Below are 23398 nucleotides of genomic sequence, written 5' to 3' on the forward strand. Positions count from 1 at the left end.
AAATCTATAAGTCTCTTAATCCTACTCCCAGAACACAAATTCCTTCAATAACATCGTTTTATCATGTAGATGCATCCACTGATGGGGAACTCACCATTTTGTGAGACAGGCCATACCCTTACTGACAGCTTTCATTTTTCCATATCCTGAACCAAAATCTAATACCCCTGTCGCCTTCAGTAGTTTGCATGAGCTATATTCTCTGTATAATAAGTTCTGAAAGAGATGATAAGGTACTAACTTTCAGAGGATTCTTCAGAGCCAGTCAGGACCCACATTAAGGAGACACAGCCATCTCAAAGAAGAAGGCTTTATTCTTTATAGTGTTGGGAATGTCAAAGTTCAACTCTTTTCTTCTTTAAGGAAACTGAAGCTTACTAGTGTTTTAGATGCAGAACAAGAAGGCGCCCTTATGAAATCTACCAGTAACAGGAAGAGGTAGCTGGTCATGCAATATAAGAGGTAAAGAAATTAGAGTCCAAGATTTAGTCCAATTTCACCTCCACCTACGATGTCTCTGAACCCTGGGCAAGAAGCTTAACTTTTTTTTTTTTTCAGGTATCGGAGAAAAGAACATGATAAAATAGAAAGGTGCTAGATATTGGTGCTAGGAATATTCAAATTCAAAACACTGCTTTGCTGTTTTATGGCTTACTACTCTTGGACAAGTTATTAACGTCTATAAACCTCAGTTTCCTTGTCTGTAAAATATGGATAAAAAAACCCTACCTCACAATGAGATACTGTTCATGAAAGTGCTTGGTACAAAGTAAAGCACAATACAAATATTATATACAACCACTATTACTATTTTGCAAAAAAATTTTGATGGGCTGGAATGATGGGCTAAAATAATAAAAATGGGACTTAATGAAGATAGTGAAAAAGTTCCACATTTCCAGTTTAATGCAAGCTTACGTAAAAAAAAAAAAAAAAATCAGAAATTTTAGTTGACTGCAAACTTACTGGGAGTCAAAGCAGACAACCTAAAAGATAAAACAAGAATGAAATCATTAAGCTGTGTTGAGTTTAGAAAGAGTCCCACTCTCTCCATAGTGGTCAGATCTCAAATGAAACATCTAGTTCTGCACACTGCATTTTAAGAGAACATAAACAAACAACAAGTTATTCAGGAGGATGAGCAGAATAAGGAAAGATTTGGGATGTAAAATGAGTTAAGGACCTAGATGTTTGACTCAGGCAGATGGGTTGGTAGGTTTCCCTTAGGCAAAACAAACAGTACGAGGATCAACTGTTAGAAGCTACACGGTGGTAGAGTTCAGCCTAACACAGAAGGATTTCCCAGCAAAAAAGGTGTCCAGCATTACACAGGGTCACATACAGAGAGCTCAGCATCACAGAAGACTCATAAATGGAGGCAGTTCTGAGGGCTGGCACTGCCCTCTTCTCTAACAGCTTCACCACCAATCAGTCCCAAAGGCCCTTTCCCTCTGATGGGACCCACCACTCCATACCTGTCCAAGTAATTCACAATGTTTGGGTTCTTGTTTTCCCTCATGACCAGGATCTCATTAATAATCAGCTCTTTCTTGGGCTGCTGCTGAAGATTCATCTGCTTAATGGCCACCTGAAATCAAGAGTATATTCAATGTGCAACCATAGTCATTCCCATTTATTGAGCACCTGCTAAGTACCAGACCTTAAGTACTCAGGAAACAAAGATGAGTAAGATACAGTCTTAGCCCTCGAGTAATTCACAGTTTGTCTATGTAGACCAGTGGTCTTCAAAGTGAGGTCTCAAGCCAGCATCATCATCATCTGGGAGCTTGTTGGAAATAAAAACCTCGGGTCCCACCCCAAATCTACTAAATCAGAAGCTCTGTGATGTAAAAAGTCCTCCAGGTCACTGTGATACACATCAAAGTTTCAGAATCAAACTTTGGTGTAGAAAAATACTTTTAAAAAGTCACAACAGAAAAGAGATGCTATAACAGAGGCTCATACAAAATGCTAGCGAAACATAAAATACGGCAAAAGCCAAGAATGCTTTCAATCTGGCTAGGTATAGAGGCTTCATAAAGGGGGAAGTGACTTTCTGAACCTGGCGTAGAAAGATAAATCAGAGTTGATCAGGTTAAGAAAGAAGAGAAAAGGAGGATGAGAGCTCTATCTACAGAAATAAAAACAAATTTCCAGACAACATGAATATATGGTATACGTTAGTTTCTAAGGTACTTGGTATCAATTCCTTCTATGTGTAAGGTACTATTATAAGGTGTTCTCAAATTTGTTATTTCATTTAATCTTCAAAGACACCTTGTGTGCTAAATATTACTAATGATTCAACAGACGGGGAAACTGTGTTTCAGAGAGGATGTGACTTGCATACATAGCTATTCAATAGCAAAATCAGGATTAGAACCCTCAAAAGGGATGTCAAGTTATCCTGTACATGTAGCCAGATTAATTTTCCCCCACAGTACACATTTGATAACCTTGTTCAAAAACTTACATGGCTCCTGGTTGCCTAGAAATGCTTCTCAGTACAACATTCAAAGTTCTCATGATCTGGCCCCTACTTTACTTCCAACTCTATTCCTTCACAGAGGAGAGTGTTCATGGAGAACACTCCATGTTCTCCCTGGTATCTAGTCCCCCTTCCTTTGTTCAGAATCTTCTCTTCATCTGGAACAGCCTGTATCATTTCCATACATTCAAAAGCTACTTACTCTTTTTGTATCAGGCCAAAGGAAACTTCATTCTCCAAACCCAATATGCCTTTTCCCTTCTTTAAAGCCCTATAAGATCATATTTATCCCTCTCTTATGGAACTTACAACTTGCTATCATGTATAATGATTAGTGTGTATGTTTGTGTGTATTGAGAGGTTTGAGGGCTTGATTGAAAGCCCAGAACCCTCAATGCCAAACACAGGCCTTTACACACAGAGTTGGTGCTCAACAAATGTCTGTAGAAAGGAAGATGGCAAGAGAGAAATCAGTAGGTTGGAAAGTACTTTGTTTTTAAATAAAAACAAAAAAAAAATGGCAATGGGCTCCTCTATCCCATAGAAGTATACTTTAAATTATTTTCTAAGTGTTCATTCTCTAGAGATATTTTTCCTTTTTCCTGCTTAGTGGACAAGAACACGAACATCTAACAGAACTAAGTTGTCTTTCTAGAAGCAGCAAGAAGTATAAAGAAGGAATGATTCAAACTTTTATGTGACAAATCCCTGACTCTATTATTTCTTCAAGTCAAGAATGGACAGTCTCTTGCAGAGACCAGGTTAATCATTTAGAATAGAAGTAATTCTGTAAAAAAATCTGACCACCTCCATTCCCTACCTCAAGTAAGGAAAAATTGCTTTGGAGTGGGGTTTCCTGTTAGGTCAGGCTTCTGGTCTGGCTGCAGCTGTCTATAACAGCTGAGCATTAGTTTTTCCTAACGTTTGAAAAGCAACATGTTGATCTAAAGATATTAAGTATAGTTAGCCCTTATAACGCACATTAAGGACTGGAGCCAGAAGAATGTCTTTTGAGTTACTCATGCCATCTTGGAGGATGGGACACTGCTTACGAACCACACAGTGGTCACTGCTGGCAGCAGCAGGGGAGGAGAGGCAGAAAGAGGCTAACATGGAGGCTAGGGAAGGACATGGGAGTCCTTTTCTTTTTACTTTTTCTTTTAATACAGAGTCTTGCTCTGTTGCCCAGGCTGGAGTGCAATGGCAATCTCTGCTCACTGCAACCTCTGCCCCCAGGGTTCAAGTGATTCTCCTGCCTCAGCCTCCCGTGTAGCTGGGATTACAGGCATCTGCCATCGCACCCAGCTAATTTTGGTATTTTTAGTAGAAACAGGGTTTCACCACGTTGGCCAGGCTGGTCTCGAACTCCTGATCTCGTAATCTGCCTGCCTCAGCCTCCCAAAGTGCTGGGATTACAGGCATGAGCAACCGCGCCTGGCCAGGAGTCCTTTTCAATAGCTACTAACTATGGGCTAGGCTAAGTGTCCTTCACCTAAGCCCCACCTATATAGGCTAGGAGATAGCATTCCTGTAACAGAAAAAGAACTGGACTTGAACTCTGAGGACTTAAGCTCAGGATCTGACTGTCACTTACTGACCTTGACCAATCACAAGCTCTCTGAGCCTCAGTCTCTTCATCAATACATTGAAGATAATCTCAACCTTGATTCCCCTCTTTTCAGGATTGTTTTGAATACCAAGTGAGACAATGGCCAATGCATTACTCACATATAAGTAAATAATTTAAGCAATAAATTTAGACAATAACAAAAATGGTAATCACAGTAATAACAGCATTTAATAAGTACTTGGCACAGCAACTACTCTCCCACCGCTACTGTTTATCAAATACCAACTGTGTGCCAGGCTCTGTGCTAGATGACGTACTTATATTATCACAGTAAAACCTAACCACACACAACCCTACAAAGTAAGAATCATGATCTGCATTTTCAGTAAGAAAATTGAGGCTAAGACTCATAAGAAAATTCTAAGGTCATAATCAATGCCTACAGGTCCATGTGACTCCAAAGCCTCTTCCAGTCTGTTCTTTCTATTGTACACATTCTCTCTAAAAACACACTTGAAAAATAATTGTTGGATATGTTAACTGGAAGACTTCCCAGCACTAACATTCTTCCTATATGTGAGACACTAGGTCTGCCCTTCTCAGCTGGATAACCCCCAATAAGCAAGAACTCACAAAGACTGAGAGCATCCCATGGACTCCAATAAAGATTTATTCTCCCTGGGGCAGGAAATGAAGCCTTCCTGACCACACTGCATTAGCCACCCTGATGGACTCCCTTCCATTCATAGTTTTGTAACCACAAGACACGCATACAATGAATTTAAATTTCTCTTTCCTCTGGCCAGCTTCTCACACAGCCAGCCTCCAGGGCTTCCAGGAACCACCATCATCACCTACCTGCCTCCCATCAAGGACTGTGAGGCCTGAGAGGCCAGAAGGGACTCTAGTATCTAACCTCAGCTCTGTTGTGCTCTTGCGGCCCAAAACACACAGGATTAGGAGTCAAAGATTCTAATCCAGTCCCTGGTAATTGCTGACAGTACAACTTTGCAAAAAAAAGTTATCTATACACCCTGAGCCTCAAATTCCTCAGCAGTAAAGAAGAAATAATATTACCTACCTCATAGAGTTCTTTTCAGGATTGGTATAGCCTTCTTTATTTTAATCTCTGCATCATATTCACCATCATTAAAATGCCATGATAATATTATCCTTCCTTCCTCACCATTATTTTTACTTTAAGGCAGATTCGTGTCAATATTACAAGGCTTTTATATGTACACAAAGGAAATTATGGTCTCTTACATTTACATATGATTTTAATGTCTGTGAACTTTCACAGAATTCTTAGCATAAGGTGTGGCATAAAGCAAATGCTTTGTGGAATACATACACATGTATATGAGTAAAAATGAATAAATATGAATATGTAGTTCATAAAGTTTATAATGCATTTTCACATGTATTGCTTTACTGAATTCTTTCAACACTTTCGTGGACATTTTATTATGCACATTTTATAAATATATAAAATTCAGGCTCAGAGAGGTCAAATGACTTGCCCAAGGTTATATAAGTAGCTAAAGGCTTATAAGCATCTAGGTCTTTGGATTCTCACATCAAAGAATAATGAATAAATCCTTAACCATAATAATGATTTTTAAAACTTGGCTTACCCTAGGTGGAGCCTTAATATTTGGCTTTAACACTTGTAAAAACTCACAAGAGCCTAGTGAGATATGTGCTACCCCTATTAACCATGACTTCTCCAGGGTGCCACGTGGTTTCAACCACCAAAAATATAGAAGCACGTTTCTAGCAGCCTCCCTCACAGAAGCCCAACTCTATTTTCATTGGAAGAGGAGGTGCCTCTCTCAATTATTGTGTACTGGTACTCTTTGAAGTAAGAACTTCTCTGGGGCAGCTGCCATCCACAGTTCATTGGCTGACACTCCTACTCTGCAACCAAATATTAAAATGCAAGGAAACCTCAAGTACTCTATATTCCCTTCATATCTTTCTTCTACTGAATATAAGACCTTGGGTCAGCAGGCTTTAGCTATAGTTCTCATGGCTTAATGAAATGAGAGGGACAAAAAGCTGCCTCCAAATAAATGAGGATTTCACTGTTCAGTGGAAAGTAAAGGTAGCACCAGTAGATTAGGAGTCAAGAGACATGGTTTAAATCTCCTGTAGATCAGATTTCTCCCCCAAGCCCCAAAGTTATGTAAGCAACTATCCACTTGGCAATCAGGCAGTATCCAATTTCTTTTTCCTTTCTCCTTGAATAATATCACCCACTTGTAAGTAATGTTCACATTCAATCATCTAATCCTGTTGAACCTACCTGCTAAGTTATCTCTCAAATCCATCCACTTCCCTCCATCTAACTATTTCACCTTAGTCCAAACCTTAAGTTTCATAATGTTATCCTGCTATTTGGCTTTTGTATGCTACAGTAAGAAACTAGATATGTTCCAGCTGGGCACACTGGCTCATGCCTGTAATCCTAGCCCTTTGGGAGGCCGAGGCAGGAAGATCACCTAAGGTCAGGAGTTCGAGAGCAGCCTGGCTAACATGGTGAAACCTCACCTCTACTAAAAAATACAAAAATTAGCCAGGCATGGTGGCAGGTTCCTATAATCCCAGCTACTCAGGAGGCTGAGGCTGGAGAACTGCTTGAACCTAGTAGGCGGAGGCTGCAGTGAGCAGAGATCACGCCACTGCACTCCAGCCTGGATGACAGAGTGAGACCCCATCCCAAAAAAAAAAAAAAAAACCTAGAACTGTTCCTGTTGACCTAACAAGGGCTAAAAATTAATCCCAAATAAAAAGAAACAGAACTAAAGGAGCAACAGTGGGTGGTGGATACTCACCTCCTGTCCTGTGGCCACATCCATTGCTGTGTACACGGTGCCTGAAGCACTGAACAGTAAGGTGGCGGAGAAAGAGGGAAAAAAACACAGTGTTCAATAAAGTGATATTTGTCAAATGCAGTTCTACACACAATCTGTGAGTGTCAAAAACAAGAGCAGTAAAAATAATCCTCTCCCTGCAGCATCCATTCTCACATTTAAGAAGCTATAAGAGGTAGTACAGAGAATGTAGGCTCTAGTGGCCAGGAGACCTGAATTCCAACCTGGTACTTCTACCTAGTACCTACTAGGTAGGATCTTAAGAAAGTTATTTAACTTCTTTGAGCTTCACTTTCCTCATTTGTAAAGTGGACATAAGAGAATACAAGATAATTTAAATTGATTAGTTCATGTAAAGTACTTAGCCAACTGCATATCATATAACAGATGCTCAATATATATTAATTTCCTGTTCCTGCTTGCTTCTCTCCTCTCCTCCATCACCCTTGGCACGTGGCTCTAATTTCTTGTGGCTTCAAACTCTTCATCTATAAAAGGGATAAGATTAGATCTATGATTTTCAACTGGGGGGGTGACAGGTGGGGAGAAAGGGGCCCTGCGGAGAATTTCAGAATGTGTTTGGGGGTGGGCCAGCATATCTTATTTATTTATCAAAAAGGAATATGGACTTCCAGGGTGTCGGTAATGTTCTTTTTCTTAATCTGGGTACTGGTTACATAGGCGTGTTCACTTTTTGAAAATTCATTGAGTTGTACACTTATGTATGCTATCTTTAGTGAAAATTTACTTTAAAAAACTATAAATAGTAAAAAACTATAAAAACTTGAAGAACCACACTGAATAATCTAATCTCAAAGTACCCTTCCCACTCTGATATTACAGGATACACTTGGATCCTTTAAAATAAAATAATGGTTTTCAATCATTTATTCCATCAACAGGATATGTGAATTTTGTTTTCTGTAGTTTGTATTATAAAAGTGGTTTTTAGTTTTCATTTTTCAAACATAAAATGATATTAAATATACTCTTTCAAACATACATGCTCCCAGAAGATCTGAGGGTACCTCTGCCCCACCCCCAAGGTAAGAATGACCCCACTTGACACATGTGTGTACACATATGTATGTTAAGTATATACACATTCATATATACAGACAGAGAAGGGGGGAAGAAATGCAGAAATAATGCTAGGAAAGTAATAATTCATTCAAAATAACTAAATCCATTCAAAATAACTAAAACCCTCATTTTATGCTTAAGACCATAAACCCTGTGTATTTGTAGGTAAGTAATTTGTAACACATATTTGTACCTGTACATGCCATATGTTAGGTACATATGATGCAATTTGAAGAAAATTAAAATTCTGCTCTATTACAAGACTGCTTCCTAGGCAAGCCCTGAGATTATAATTCCAGGTCAATCCAGGGGGAAAAGTCATGTGTAAGCATGCCTTGCAGCTAGAAACTATGGTCACCAGCTCCCTAATCATCACTCTTTAGTTGGGACCCTAGCTACATGCCTAGAAACTGTGACTATAACATACTGGCTATAAAATAAGGATTGGATGACTTGTACAGGCAGTTATTTCTTCACTGCCTGATTATCCTGCCCCTAGCTATCTTCTGTTATAAAGCTGGTATCTGTCTTCCTATCCCCATCCCTTCCTGATCCTACTAGATGTAATATTCTTAAAGGACAAACATGCCCAAGCCTCAGGGGACTGTCTCCATGATTACAAAGTTGTAGAAAGCTACTTAGGCCCACTGCTTAATACCTATTTCTAACTTGAATAGACATATAATTAGACATATGAATTCCAAGTCCAAAAGAATAATAATCTTCAGGTCTTAAAGGAGAAATAAAAGCAAGCAAAAATTACAATATTACCAATTCATCATATTGGTGTGACAGTTATATTTTAAAAATTATGCAATGTGGAAACATCAGCATAAGTGCTTAATTAATATTTCATTCTTCCCTTAGCACTAACAGACCTGTCAAGTAAGCAAGGAAAGAACATTATGCAGATGTTGCCTATTTATAGGTCTCATATATCAGTAACTAAAAAAAAAAAAAAAGTCACAAAAGTTCTGGAGGTAAAAGGTCCTCAATTCACAATCTGTCTTCCTTAAATTTACAGGAAGAAACTCCAGTCCAGAGAAGAAACCTGACTTGCCTATGCTTGTCCATGTACATTTCTGCTACATTCTTAATATCTCAATTTCACTACCTAAAGGAAATACCATCCCACATTACTCTGAGGTAAGCAAAATAATTTTTTTCTCAAGGTGTTAAATACCTTACACCAGTTCAAACTCACAAAAGTATGTCTATTTTGAAAAACACTGGAACTAGAAAAAAATAAGATCCACTCAAGCCCAGAGTTGTTCTGAGGATTAAACAATAAATGCAAATAACAGATGTGAACTGTAGAATGCTGTATAAACAGAACCTCCCTATATTATGCAATCTTTTATTTTCAGAAATTCTTGGGTGTATAATTTAAAAAAAAAAAGAAAATTTCAATGACATCATTAGCAACAATGCTTTCATTCCACTAACACTGAGAGCCAGACATTTTTCTTTTTCAGTTTCTTTTTAATTTTATCTCTTTTGGTGGGTCTTTAGAAATCTCATTTTTTTTTTATAGAGAGGTATAACTTAATTTGCACAAATCTTAAGTGTACAACTTGATTTTTATATATGTACACACCCATGTGTTCACTACCAAGATCACCCCCAAAGATTCCCTCATGACTATTCCTACTCAACATCCTCCTCCCAGAAATAACTACACTGTTCTGACTTCTATTATCATACATTAGTTTTGCTTGTTCTTGAATTTCATATAAATAGAATGACATAGTATCTGCTCTTTTATATCTGGCTTTTTTCACTCAAAATAATGGCCACTTTCAAAAGACACTACAGTCATTACCCCCGAAGATTCCTTCATGCCTATTCCCACTCTACATCCTCCTCCCAGAAATAACCACTATTCTGACTTCTATTATCATATATTACTTTTGCCTGTTCTTGAATTTCATATAAATCAAATGAGACAGTATCTGCTTTTTCATATCTAGCTTCTTTCACTCAAAATAACAGCCAAACACTTTAAAAACACAAGACAGTCATGTGTCACATAACGACGTTTCAGTCAACGATGGACCGCATATGATGGTGGTCCCATAAGATTATGATGGAGCTGAAAAATTCCTATCACCCAGTAACACTGTAGCAGTTGTAACGTCATAGCACAATTACTTTGTTTTTTAATAAATGTACAGTCTAAGTGTACAGGGTTTATAAAGTCTACAGTAGCGTACACAGTAATGTCCTAGGCCTCGACATTCACTCACCACTCACTGACTCACCTAGAGCAACTTCCAGTCCTACAAGCTCCATCCATGTTAAGTGCCCTACATAAATATACCTTTTTTTTATCTTTTATGCTGTATTTTTACCGTATCTTTTCTATGTTTAGATATACAACCACCATTGTGTTATAATTGCCTACAGTATTCAGTACAGTAACATGCTGTACAGGCTTGTAGCCTAGGAGCAAGAGGCTATACCATATAGCCTAGGTGTGTAGTAGGCTATACTATTTAGTTTTGTGTTCACTCTATGACGCTCACATGACAAAACTGCCTAAGGATGCACTTCTCAGAACATATCCCCTTTGTTAGGCAACATATGACTATACAATTGTTTGCCTATCTTTTTCTGTTGACTTGAGGTCCTTGGAAGCAGAGATTGTCTCTGAATTCATAGTGCCTTGCACACAATAGGAACTCAGTTAAGACTTGCTGAATTCATTACACTGAGGGCAGCATATAAGATACAGAGAAGGATGAATGCAAGAAGGATAAATTCTGGCATCTACCTAGAAAAACAGGTCCTATCACAGTAGTAGAAGGATTTATAGTTTTGGGTCTTCCATTTTATATTAGTGCTGGTGGATCTCAGCACTAGGACAAACAGGGTTCATCCGGAAAAGCAGAGTTGTAATTTGGGAAGTTGGTTTTGTGCTAAGAAAAAAAACCGTTCTCTCACTGTCACTGCAGGGGTATTTTTAGCAACATGGTCAGCTAATGGCATCTCTCTCATATTAAGCATAATTCTGCCAAATCTCAAGTCAGTCTCACATAACAACTCCAGATGGGTGAGGGGTAAAGTGGAGAAAGAAGAACAAGGTTTATGAGAGGCAAAAAAAAAGCAAAATCATATATGCCGGCACACACACTTTAAAGTCATTTCTCCAGGGAAAGAAAATGCCCCTACTAACCCTTGTCCAATCTTCTCAAACCGTGTATATTTCTTCTTAGGATCGCCCACACTCACTATGCTTCCTTTGAAAGAAACAGAGACCATGAATCATTTTTTCCCAAATCAAGATACAAAAAAGGTTCCACATTTCCCCAACCCCTGTAGCTGGCAAGGGTTAAAGAACTACCTCCAATAGCCAAAAAGCATGCTAAACAGGCCCTCAGCTTTTCCCCCATAAGTCTCAACCAAAAGTTTCATCACCTTGACTGCTTTGATTCATAGTAAGCTATTCCATTTCTAAACTCCTAAAAGTCATTCATTTTTTAATTAATCCATTCAGTAAATATTTACTCATTTAATACGCACCAAGCCATATGTTGTGTTAGGAATGAAGAGATATGACACAGTCAAGGCAGTCCCTGCTCTCAAGAAGGTCAATTTCATGGAGGAGACAGATAAGTAAGCATAAAGTTCCATGAAAATATAATAATTGCTGTGATAAAAGCCAAAGGGGTACAGAAAGAGGCACACACACACAAAAAAAAGACTGGAAAAACTTCAGAAAGGTGATATATGGACTGATTTCCACTTTAAGTAAAAGCCAGAGAGATAAAGTAGAGAAGAGGTTTACAACAAAGAATATTTCAAGTGCAACGACATAGAGGTTTTCCACTGGGTTTTATAACTTGTATTTTAGAGATGGAGAAATTGAGGCCCACAGAAGGGAAGAAGATACTTCCCCCCCAAGGTCACACAGCAAATTGGTGTCAGAGCTAAGATTAGGAGTTTCATTTTTAGTCTCCCGGTCCAATGTGCTCTCCATTAATACCCAATTACTAGGAATTGGTACTTTTCACATATATTACCTCATTTGATTTGCAAATGAGACAAGTATTAACATCCCTATTTTAAAAATGAGAAAAATGAGGTTTAGAGAACAGTAGAAAATTGCCTAAGACACAAGTCAGTGGCTGAGCAGAAGCTTCAACTCAAGTGTCCTAACTCCCAGGCCAAGTCTTAATTCTAAGTCATAATTCTAAGTGTTATTGTTAAAACAAAACAAAACAAAAAACTCTGGTTTAGAGAACAAGACTACATACAGGAGTAAACAGATGACTAGGTAAGTGGCTTTTCTTACTTTGTCATTTTATGAGGGATCCAGAAAAGGGCAATTTTTAAAACAGTGAAAATTTGTTTTAAAGTCATATAGGAATTAATCAGGAAGAACTAGAGAACCACAAAGCAATGCCAGTTTGCAGACGTCGCCAAATCGGTCACATCAAATCCTTTTTGGAAGTAAGTAGATACAGTGAATAAATTAAAGCCCTTGTCAAATGATTCTTCCAAGCCCACAGATCAACCTAGTTCTTCCTTCTAACATGAATTCTTCTGCAGTTTACTGAAACACAGAAATAAGCTACCCTAACATACCCCCATTTCTGGCAGCTAAAGAAAGTAAAATGGAAGTTTCCACTTGACAGCAAGAGGCAGTATGCTCTACTTACAGGAACAAAAACTGTGTTCTAACCTCAGCCATGTCACTTTTTAGCTGCGTGATTTTGGGCAGGATATTTAGCCTCCCTGAGCCTCAGATATCTTCATTGCAAAAATTAGGATCATAATGCTTTTCTTCACAGGGTTAATAAGAGAATTAAATTTAAAAAAAATCAAGAAAATATTTTGCTTGTCATTTGATACATACTATAGGTTCATAAAATGTTAACTTCCCTTCCCTCTTTTCCTACAACCAAGATGGCAGATGCGTCTTCTCCTAGGTCAATGGCAAAACATCAATAATTGATCACAGTGCCCTTTTCCACTAGGTCCTCAGTCTTTCTCAACATGGCATTCTAGGCTATTCATTAGAGAAAAACTATTTGTCTTCGCTATAATACATGCCTAGGGGTGAGGGATGCCCTGCCCTCAAAGTAAGCTATCCACACTCTCACCACATCTCCATCCTAACATAGTATCCAACCAGGGCTGTGAGACAGGGAAGGGAGGTTCAGGGGCAGGGTGAGGAGAAGCAGTCTGTGCCTAAGGTACCAAGCATGGCCAGCCAGCTGCATGGACCAAGCCTACGACCAGCAAATCTCTGTGCTTGACCAGTCATAAAACGAAGAAAGGTTCAGAAAGCTACAAATTCCTTACGTAATTTCTCCAAGATCTCCTCATCAGACATTTTAGGCTTCTTCTTCTGCTTCTCAGTATTCCGGGTCAAAGCATCTGGTGGAGTGGTGTTATTTTCAGTAGGTGAAATGGGAGATGTAGCCACGTCCCGAGTTGGAGTGACAGGAAGTGGTTCAATCACAGACCGTGTGTATACCTGCATTATTAGTGCAAAATTTTGGCAAGACCAGCCTTTGTTAGCATAGGGGAACCTCTCCTAGATGTGAGGTTAGAACATCCACAGAGCAAACCCCAATAAACTCATCCTTTCTCTTATGTCAAAATCTATATTACTCCTCCTCTGTGCCCAGGCCCACCCATTCTGGGTAAAATGGCCTTCCTTACTCTCACTGTAAACAAAAGAAGTGAGAGTCTCAGCACTAAAGATATTCAATAGAGGCTAGACAACTATCAAAAGAAATTAGTTAAAGACAATTCTATTAGATAAGAATCCCCTTCATCTGTAATATTTTATGCTTCCCCAAGCTAAAAGAAATATCCTGTATTCCCCAAGCTAAAAGAAATATTCTGTAACAAAAGAAATTAGTTGAAGACAATTCTATTAGGTAAGAATCCCCTTCATTTGTAATATTTTATGCTTCCCCAAGTTAAAAGACATATCCTGTAGTAATGCAAATAGCACTTTGCATTACTAGTACAACACCAACTTCTATTGAGTTACTCCCTCCTTACATCCTGAACCCTTGCAGGGAAGGAACTACTTTTGTTCTTCATCAAGAGGTAGTAGAGTGTGATGATTTAGAACATGGACTCTGGAACCTGACTGCCTGAACTTAAATCCCAACTCTTATTATTCTTACCTTCTGCATGACTTTGGGCAGGTTACTTAACTTCTCTGTGTTTCAGTTTCCTCATCTATAAAATGGTGATAATAATGATAACTATCTTTTGGGGTTGCTGTAGGAGTAAACTGATTAATATGTGAGGTAATCAGACTCATCCCCAGCAGACATTAAGCACTCAAATTTTACCTTTTAAAAATATTAAATGTCCTATTCATTCATTTACATAACAAACATTTACTGAGAATCTATTTGTTGCCTCACCCTGTACAAAATGCTGCCCCAACCTCTCATTCTTATAAAGGAGGTGAGAAAATCATAACTACAAGGCAGAAAGTGATACATGTTATAAAGAAATAAGCAAGCTATATACTACTGAGGTTCAGAAGTGATCATAAATTATACTTCCTTTCCCCAGGAGATGCTTCAAGGTATTTAACAGATTTTATCATAAAAATATCACAATTATCTTTTGCATAGTCCATAAACAGTATAAGGACAGGGAATGTGGGTCATTCATCCGTGAGTTCCTCCATCTAACCACTTACTAAAAGAAAGCAAGCATTCAGGTAAATATTTGATGGAATAAATAAACAAACAGGATCCTGCAACTGGATCCTGAAGGACGGATAGGTTTCTACAAAGATAGAGGATCATTTATCTATGATGATCATTTATCTGCGATGATGCAAAGCCATTGGCAACAGTGGGACTCAAACCCATGGCTCCACAGAGACTAAAGCCAACTACATCCTGCACCTTGGACTGCTTGACCATGCTACCTTTTGACTGGACAGGCTTTTAATAGGTGGAAATGGGAGAGAACATTCCAGTAGTGGGAACAGCAATAAGCCAAGACGCTGAGATCAGAGGCAATGGCTTCCTTCCTGATTACTACTCTAGCATAATGATTTCTCAATTTTCTATTCTTGTACCTGTAGACAAACTATATCCCAGGCACCTAAACCTGTACTTCCATGCCTTGTCCTCTTTTGCCTGTCCTGATATATCTCTTTGAAGACAGAAACCTTGCCTTTTCCTTCTTTAATAGTCTCCTTCTCTGGCTCCTAGCACAGGTTTGTACACACAAAAATACCACTGTGCTATGGTGGAAAACAACCTGGAGTTGGGGTTAATTACCTGCTTTCAAATCCTGGCTCTTTTGTTTACTAAGAGACTGGGCAGATCAATTCACCTCTCCAAATCTCAGCTGCTTCTTCTATAAATTAGGAATTACCAATACCTTTTTAGAAAGAAATGCTATGAAGATCAATTAATTAATTAATTCAATATTTACTGTCCTCTGATATTTACCCACCTCTGCAGGTGCCAAGAACTATGTTAAGCACTAGAAATACATACATATGGATTTCCTCTACTTTTTGAGGTGTTCATGGTTTAGTGGGGAAAAAAATGTTTTAAATGAACATGTCTACAAACCAAAAAAAACCATATCAGTGTTAACGACTCTCCAATTTTGAAGCGCATTTTCCCTTGAGGTAACTTTGTGACCTACAGAGATGATTCCACAGATTCTGTTTGTAAGTTCTCATCCTAATAGGTCATATAATTCCTTTGAATTTCCTCCACAGCATCTCCAATAGTCATTCAACCAATTTCTGTTTGAACACCTCCCTGAATGCTGTATTCCAGAGGTAGCCCTTTTTTTTTTCTTTCATGATCACAGAAGTGCTAGATGGTTCCTTCATTATGGAGCTCTCATCTTAGTAAAAGACCTAAACAAAGAAACACTAGTAGAGTATCATCTGATGGTAGGTCAGTGCTCAGTGATGCCAAATTAAGTAAAAGGCACAGGGACTAGATGTTTCAAAGCAAGGTTAGAGGGACCATGGCTATTCTCAGAGATGCAGGAACCTCAAAGGAAGTTAAATAGAAATCACTGCCAACATCCGGCATCAAAATGCACTCCTGATGCCCAGCATATTAATAGCACTAATGTATTTATATATTCTCTTGGGTCTTTCAATATTATCAATAATGCTCTAAGAGGCTGAACACTGCACATTTAACAGAGAAGAAAAGATCTGTAGCAAGACAATTTGTTGCTTCCCTGGAGACTGGAATAATTTATGTTAGTCCTGCACTAAGTAGCATCAATCCTATATATCTTCCTGTCCTATCTGTGGAGAACCGAGACTGGACTGGTATAAACATCAATTACCTAGGACACTTTGGGACTATCTGCAAACCAATGATAAATAAACACATGATTTTTTGTCTTTAATCATACAGAAAGTACCTTTAGTCAAGGTAGTTCAGTGATTTCACCAGCTCCAAAATCTAAGGACGCCTACCAGAATATTAAACTTCTAGGTATCAGCACCAACTCCTCCCTCTCCCCACTTACTCTAATAAATCACAAAACTGGCCAGGTCCCCAAAGACTCACAGATTTTGTGTGCTCTGGGCGTGGAGCAATCACTGGTGGTGGGGTAGCATCATCATCATCATCATCCTCATCTTCTGAAACTGGTGGCACTGCAGGAGTCTCAGACACAGCCTTCACATTCTGTGCAAAGAAGAAAAGCAAGATGCATCTGGTCCAGCTGCCATGGAACTTAACTATCAGGATCACCAAACCTCCCACGAGAAACCCCATCCTGATATCCCTTCTGAAATACACATTAGCCTCCAAGCTCTCACCTTTGTGTAGCTAGTCTCAGAAGCTCAATCTGTTTCTCCCTCTTCTTTTAGCCATCACTATCCACTCAGTCCCTTGGGGCTTCCTTCTCCCACTCAAAGCCTAGCTGTGAATGGGAAGCTAGCTTACAGCTTTTCTACCTGCCTCTCCCCCAACCCAACCCCTGAAGACAAGCTCACAGTACCTTCTTATTCTATGAATTTTTCTCTCCACACTGAACAGGAAATAAAGTATGAAATGTAGGGAAGAGATCAAAAGTTTCTAATTTTTCAAAATTCATCACTATAATTTCTTACTCTCTCCTGATATGGTAAATGGCAGTCTAAACAGGCTTTTGCCCTGCCCTTTTCCTCTCTTTGCAAAAATCTCCTGAACCCATTACATTACCAGGGGTCCTCACCTCAACCTGAAGATAAAGAACATCAGCATCAGGATCATGTTATCTAAAGAGAACAATGAATTTCTCCCCAGACTGGATACTATTTCCCTAAGTTTCTGCCCTACCCTGGAATGGAACTTACCACTAATTAGATCTGCTTACAATCTGTGACAACCTGATTTCCCCATGCAAACTATAAGAGAGCTGGGCCAAGAGTGGCAGGTTTTAGGGCAGGTCCAGGCAAAAATAGCATACCATTACTGTTTATTACACAGAATTAAGAGACAAAATGCCTCCAAAATATGAGATTTTTGATAGATACCAAATGATTCTATCATTTGATCAGCAAAGAACTGGAGAGGCAATGGGGATCTTTTAATATATACTGATATAATTCAACAGTTTCAGGTATTTTCAGAGCACCTACTTTGTGCTCAGTAAGACTGTGATAGGTACTGTTGACATAAATGTACAAAGATGAAAAAGATGGTCCATGTCCTAAAGTAGTGACCATCTGGTATAGGAGATAGACAGGATGAGAGCCCCTCCTGCCTGACACCTGGAGCCTCCTAAGAGGAAGGTCCAGAGTCAGAATAACGGGATAAATGGAAGAACTAAGGAATAATATACTAGAGGTACTGACTGTGGGAGACTGTCTTTTACCACATTTGACATACTAAAGTAAGAAAAACTGGCATAGATTTTAACAGGGCCTCCAGCACAAAGCATAAGTTAAAAACTGACAGTGCCGGGCATATATAAGCAGTTGTGGTGACCATAGGCAATAAATCTGTCCTCTTGGTTTGAAGTTTAATCACCTGAGGAATGTGAAGGAAGAGGAGTGTTATAATTTGAAAGATGACCTTAAATCGCTTTAAGTTCCAAAACTCAATAGAGGTCCTTTCCCTGTCAAAATATGTATTTCGATATTTTTCTGCTCTAATTTATTTTCTCCCCACTATTCCACTCAACAAAATTTAACTAAAAACCTAATGTGGGAATACAGTTGACTCAGCAAGGCTCTTCATCATCAGGTAGCCCTGGAGCTCCCCTGATGTATACTGTAAACACTAGGTTTGTTTGCTTTATAAAACTGTAGAGAAGGGGATTTCAACACCTTCCTCAGTAAAAGATTCTGTTTTCCATAGGTGATAGCTTTGGGCAGTGATATTAACATCTGTCAGAGAGAGAAAGGTCTAGGTTATTACCCAGATTTTTACTTCTTAGCCCTGTGTCCTTGGGCAAGGGTCTAAGTTAAGTCTCACATTTTTAATTTATAAAACAGGGGTAATGACTACAGCTCTCTGCCTACCTCAGAAGGCCACTGAATGGATTAAATGAGGCAAAGTGAGCATAAAATCACTGAAAATGGTAAAGAGCTAGAGAGATGTAAGGAATCAATTAAATTATCATTATGTCTAATAACCACAAATCTCTGTTTCAAACAAAAGCCAGACATTCCAATTCATCATCCATCTACCCATATAGCCATCCATCCATCCATCCATTCACTGTGTGCCAGACTCCATTCTAGGCTCTGGGGCTACATAAAGAATAAAACAGATAAAGTCCCTGGTTCTATGACTTACATTCTAGAAGAGAATAGAGTAAAAAACAATCACCAAAGTGTCTGCTCCATATAGGAGCAGAGATTGGTTGACAAGGTGGGGAGATACTATTTTAGATACGATAGGCACAGGCAAGCCTCTCTAATAAAATGTCATATAACAGTGACCTGAATGAATTAAGGGAGCAAGCCACGGGGCTCTCTGAGAAAAGGATATTCCTAGCAGATGGAAGAAGTTAAAGACTCTGAGACAGAAACATGCTTGGTATGTTCCCACAACCCTTAGGAATTCTACCTATGTGGGTGTAACAAAGTTAGTAAGGGGAAGTAAGGAAAGAAACAAGGTCAGAAAGTTAGCTGGGAATCAGATTATGTAAAGTCAGAGAGGCGGTAATAAAAACTCTGGAGTTTAGACCTAGAATAAGAAACCACTGGAGGACTGTGAGTAGAACAGTGATGTAATCTATACATTTTTTTTCTTTTTAAAGTGCTTTATTAAGATGTTTCTCACAAATTAGAGAAAAGGTTTTTTTAATCAATGGCAATAAAATACAAATTCCTATTTTATAACAAAATAGTGAAAAGCACCAAAGAAAATTTGCACCTATAACTCTAACAAACTCAAGGGTTCTTGGTTCTCAGTTCTTTTAAAGTATAGTCTGATAGAGTACTCAAAGCTTTTAGAAAGAGTACCAAATTTATTACTTCCTGAAATGTTGTATGAATAGCACTTTTATTCATCATATGTTCATACATATATACTAATATACCATCTCCACTGCCTTAAATACAAAAATATTCATCACAGGCAAGTTTTCTACTGCAAATAGGCAAGAATATTAAATATAATCTGTGATACTGTCTACTTTTTTGAAAACAAGATACTAGAACCAAAACACTGTAGAACACAAATGTTACTAATTTAAGATTACTAATGTTACTAATTTAAGGTTACTAACTTCAGATAGCATCAATTGTTCAACAATATTTTAAAGGTGTTTCTATATAAATTTATCCACCGGTTTGGGTTTTCTTTATTACAGAAATGTATGAATAGTACCCTGGATTATATCCTTGCAATTTGGGCATTTGCTTAAAGGTGTATATTCTTAGCATATAACCAGTTGACAATAAGGAATAAATACACTGGAAACTTCTTTGTAACTACTTTGTAAGTTCGTTCTTCTTGCAACTTCCTCAATTGTTCTTCTAGTGACAGATCTCAAACGTCCTCTGTTGGAATATACTTTATGTACTTTTCCACTGATACCAATTTTTAGTTTGATTTTCTTTTTTCTTTTTCTTCTTCATTAGAATTACTAACACAATATCACTGGCTACTTTATAATTCTCTCCAATTAAGGTTTTATGTTGAACTGTCTGTTTTATCAGGCAGGATAGAATAATACTTAAAAACCAACATTTTGGAATCAACTAGCTTAGGATCAAATCACGCCTTTATCACTTACAAACTATGAGTTCTGCGTAAGATATTAATTCTCTCACTTTCCTCAGTTATGAAATACAGCCTGTATTAGTACTTACTTTAGTGTTAGTGTGAGGTTAAATGAGATAAAGCTATGTAAAATTCATTTTTAAAATACTCAAATATTAGCTATGATAATGATGTTGGCCAGATGATTAGAAAGTGCTCAGTATAGGATTGCTAAATGAATATGTCTTATCCAATAGTAGTATAAACTGGAATGAAATATCTAAATGATGGGGCACTCAGTAATTGAAAAAGTGGAGATAATGGGAACAGGATTGTGAAGGAAGATGCCAAAATGGCGAAGAACTGTACTATTAACTGACTTAAACCATTAGCCTACATTCTACAGTAAAAATTAGTGGGTCTGATGGTTTTTTTCATATCCTATAAAAGCTTGTTTGCTTTATTATATCTTCAACATGATCAAAACCAGCTCTCAACAGGTCAGGTTTTTAACAGGCCAGTTAAAAACCACCTTGGGAAGGCTCCAAGGTTCAGCTAAGACAGTCAAGGATAAGACTATATCCTAAGGAAATTTTGGGTGGCTGCTGCCTGATCAAATAGAAGTTTTAAGGTCAAGGAAAATAGTGAAGAAGAAAATGACTAGGTACTGGAATCAAAACTCAAGGCTCTGGGCAGCTCGGAATGATATAATGCAAACAGATTGAAAATGGCCACTGAAATGTGACAACCCAACCCAGAGAGGAGATGAGATGGTAGCCAGGGTGTGCTCACTAAGCATTCTGTCCCAGTAGGAAGACTATGCTCACCCTACAAGATCAACTTGATACTTTTCCTTGGGATAGGGAGACCAAGGATTGATACCTGACTAAACATAAAATCCTTTCCCCACTCCCTCCATGAGAAGCAGTATGATAAAAAGGAAAATAAACCGTATCAGGATTCAAAAAGTTCTTTCCATTAAACCTTCTGTTCCTTAGCCTCATAACCACTGCTTTCACTTAGGCACCATATTCTCTTACCTTTACCAATCCTTTACAAGTCTTCCTCATTGCTTTTTGGGACCCCAGTCTTGCCTTCTCTAATGCATCTTTTATTACAGCCCAGAATAATCTGTCCTTTATCTTTTTAAAAATATTATAAGCAGACTGCCAGGTATGGCAGAGAGAGAAGACTGGCAAATCCTCTCCCCAACAAGCAACTATAAATCTGGACAAAATTGACAAAAACCATTTCAGTTCCCTGGAAATCCAACAAAGGTCAACAAAATATTGAGAAGTGCTTATGACTGATAAACTCCTGAACTTTGGGTTAAAAATAGAATCTCTGGCATTCTGGGCAAGGGATGTTCCCATCCATCCGAGCCCCAACTCCAGAAGTGTGGGGGTTCCATCAGGGCAGACCAGGGTATAACTGCATAGTCCAAGAACATTCACTTTGTGCTGGAGATATGGGCAATGCCCAGGCCCAGTGGCACTGTCATTGGAAGTGACTTCCAAAGGTGGTAGCGGCAGAGGGTCAACTATTCAGCTCTATTAGCCTGAAGCTACAGTCCTGAGTAGGGCAAACTAATTTCTGGCTAAGGCTGTTCACAGGCACAGCAGACGCTAGAAAAGCCTCATGCTAGTCACACATGCCTGGCTATGTGCATACACATAAAAGATTCAAAAGAGCCCAACATAAAGTAAAAGCTGGAACAGACTTGAAAAAGGCCTAAACAGTAAATGTACTCCCCTACCTACACATAGATCCATCAACAGAGGAAAGAAGCCTTACAGAGTTGAAGTTTTTGAGCACCATCTGTGTCAAATCATTGGCTAAAGATTCAGCTAAGCAAACATAGAAGCAATCTCTGGAAAGCCAGGCTGCAACAAAACAAAACAACAACAACAAAACCACCACAAAAACAAACAAAAAAACAACAAACACTGAGCAATGACATCAATGACCACAGACAGAGACTATGTCACAGATTTATCCCTAGTAAGATAATACAAAACCAACAAATAAAAAAGCTAGCAACTTTTTTGGGGGAGGGGGCTATCAGTATCCAGAATTGGTACAGAATATTATCTAAATATTGAATTTTCAACAAGAAATTATAAGACATGGAAAGAAACAGGAAAGCACGACCTAGGGGGAAAAAAGCAATCAACAGGAACTCTGAATGTCCCCAAATGTTGGCTTTAGAGAATAAAGATTTCAACTCAGATATAAATACATTCAAAAAACTAAAAGAAACCATGTTTAAAGAGTTTTAAGAAAGCCTAACAACGAGTGAAATTCTCAGTAGACATTACTTCAAATGAACCAAATGGAAATACTACAGTTGAAGAATAAAATAACAAATGAAAAACTCACCAGAGAGCTAAACAAGGGATTCTATATGGCAGAAGAATCAATGAATTTGAAAATGGAGGTGGGGAGCGGTGGCTCACACCTGTAATCCTAGCACTTTGGGAGGCCAAGGTGGGCGGATCACGAAGTCAGGAGTTCGAGACCAGCCTGGCCAATATGGTGAAACCCCATCTCTACTAAAAATATAAAAATAAAATTAGCTGGGTGCGGTGGCACGTGCCTGTTGTCCCAGTTACTCAAGAGGGTGAGGCAGGAGAATCGCTTGAACTCAGGAGGCAGAGGTTGCAGTGAGCTGAGATTGTGCCACTGCACTCCAGCCTGGGTGACAGAGCAAGACTCTGTCTCAAAAAAAAAAAAAAAAAGAAAAAAGAAAAAAGAAAATGGACCCATAGCAATTATCTAATATAAAGAACTGAGGTAAAAAAAAATTAAAGAAAAAAACAGAGCATCAAAGAGCTGTGGAACAACATAAAGCACACCAGCATACATATAATGAGAGTCTCTGAGGAAGAAAAAAAAAAGACACAGAAAAAATATTTAAAGAAATAAGGATAAAACTTCCTAAATTTGATAAAAACATTAAACTACAGATCCAAGAACCTCGATAAATCCCAAAGTAGGAAAACACAAAAAGATTCACACCTGGCTGGGAGCGGTGGCTCATGCCTGTAATCCCAGCACTTTGGGAGGCTGAGGCAGGCGGATCACTTGAGGTCAGGAGTTTGGGACCAGCCTGGCCAATATGGTGAAACCCCATCTCTACTAAAAATACAAAAATTAGCTGGCTGTGGTGGCATGCACCTGAAATCCCAGCTACTCGGGCGGCTGAGGCAAG

General features: G+C 38.5%; 1 protein-coding gene across 50 annotated transcripts in view; it reads right to left on the bottom strand.

The window, feature by feature from the left end:
- The window catches only part of PAK1 (p21 (RAC1) activated kinase 1), a 207993-nt gene that overhangs the window by 20327 nt on the left and 164268 nt on the right, over positions 1 to 23398 (bottom strand). For 47 of the 50 annotated variants that reach the window (NR_164797.1, NR_164798.1, XM_024448560.2 and 44 more), the window contains 5 exons: positions 16555 to 16674; positions 13325 to 13499; positions 11193 to 11256; positions 6896 to 6944; positions 1476 to 1588 (listed from right to left, as the gene is read on the bottom strand). Coding sequence is in view for 48 of the 50 variants with exons in the window: in XM_024448560.2 (XP_024304328.1) it covers positions 1476 to 1588; positions 6896 to 6944; positions 11193 to 11256; positions 13325 to 13499; positions 16555 to 16674 (521 nt within the window). In the remaining 2 variants the exon portion in view is untranslated. The remainder of the gene's footprint in view (positions 1 to 1475; positions 1589 to 6895; positions 6945 to 11192; positions 11257 to 13324; positions 13500 to 16554; positions 16675 to 23398) is intronic. The other 3 variants (NM_001376294.1, NM_001376295.1, NM_001376303.1) reach the window with 3 other exon arrangements.

This window comes from Homo sapiens, chromosome 11, assembly GCF_000001405.40.
Source record: "Homo sapiens chromosome 11, GRCh38.p14 Primary Assembly".
Lineage (NCBI taxonomy): Eukaryota > Metazoa > Chordata > Mammalia > Primates > Hominidae > Homo > Homo sapiens.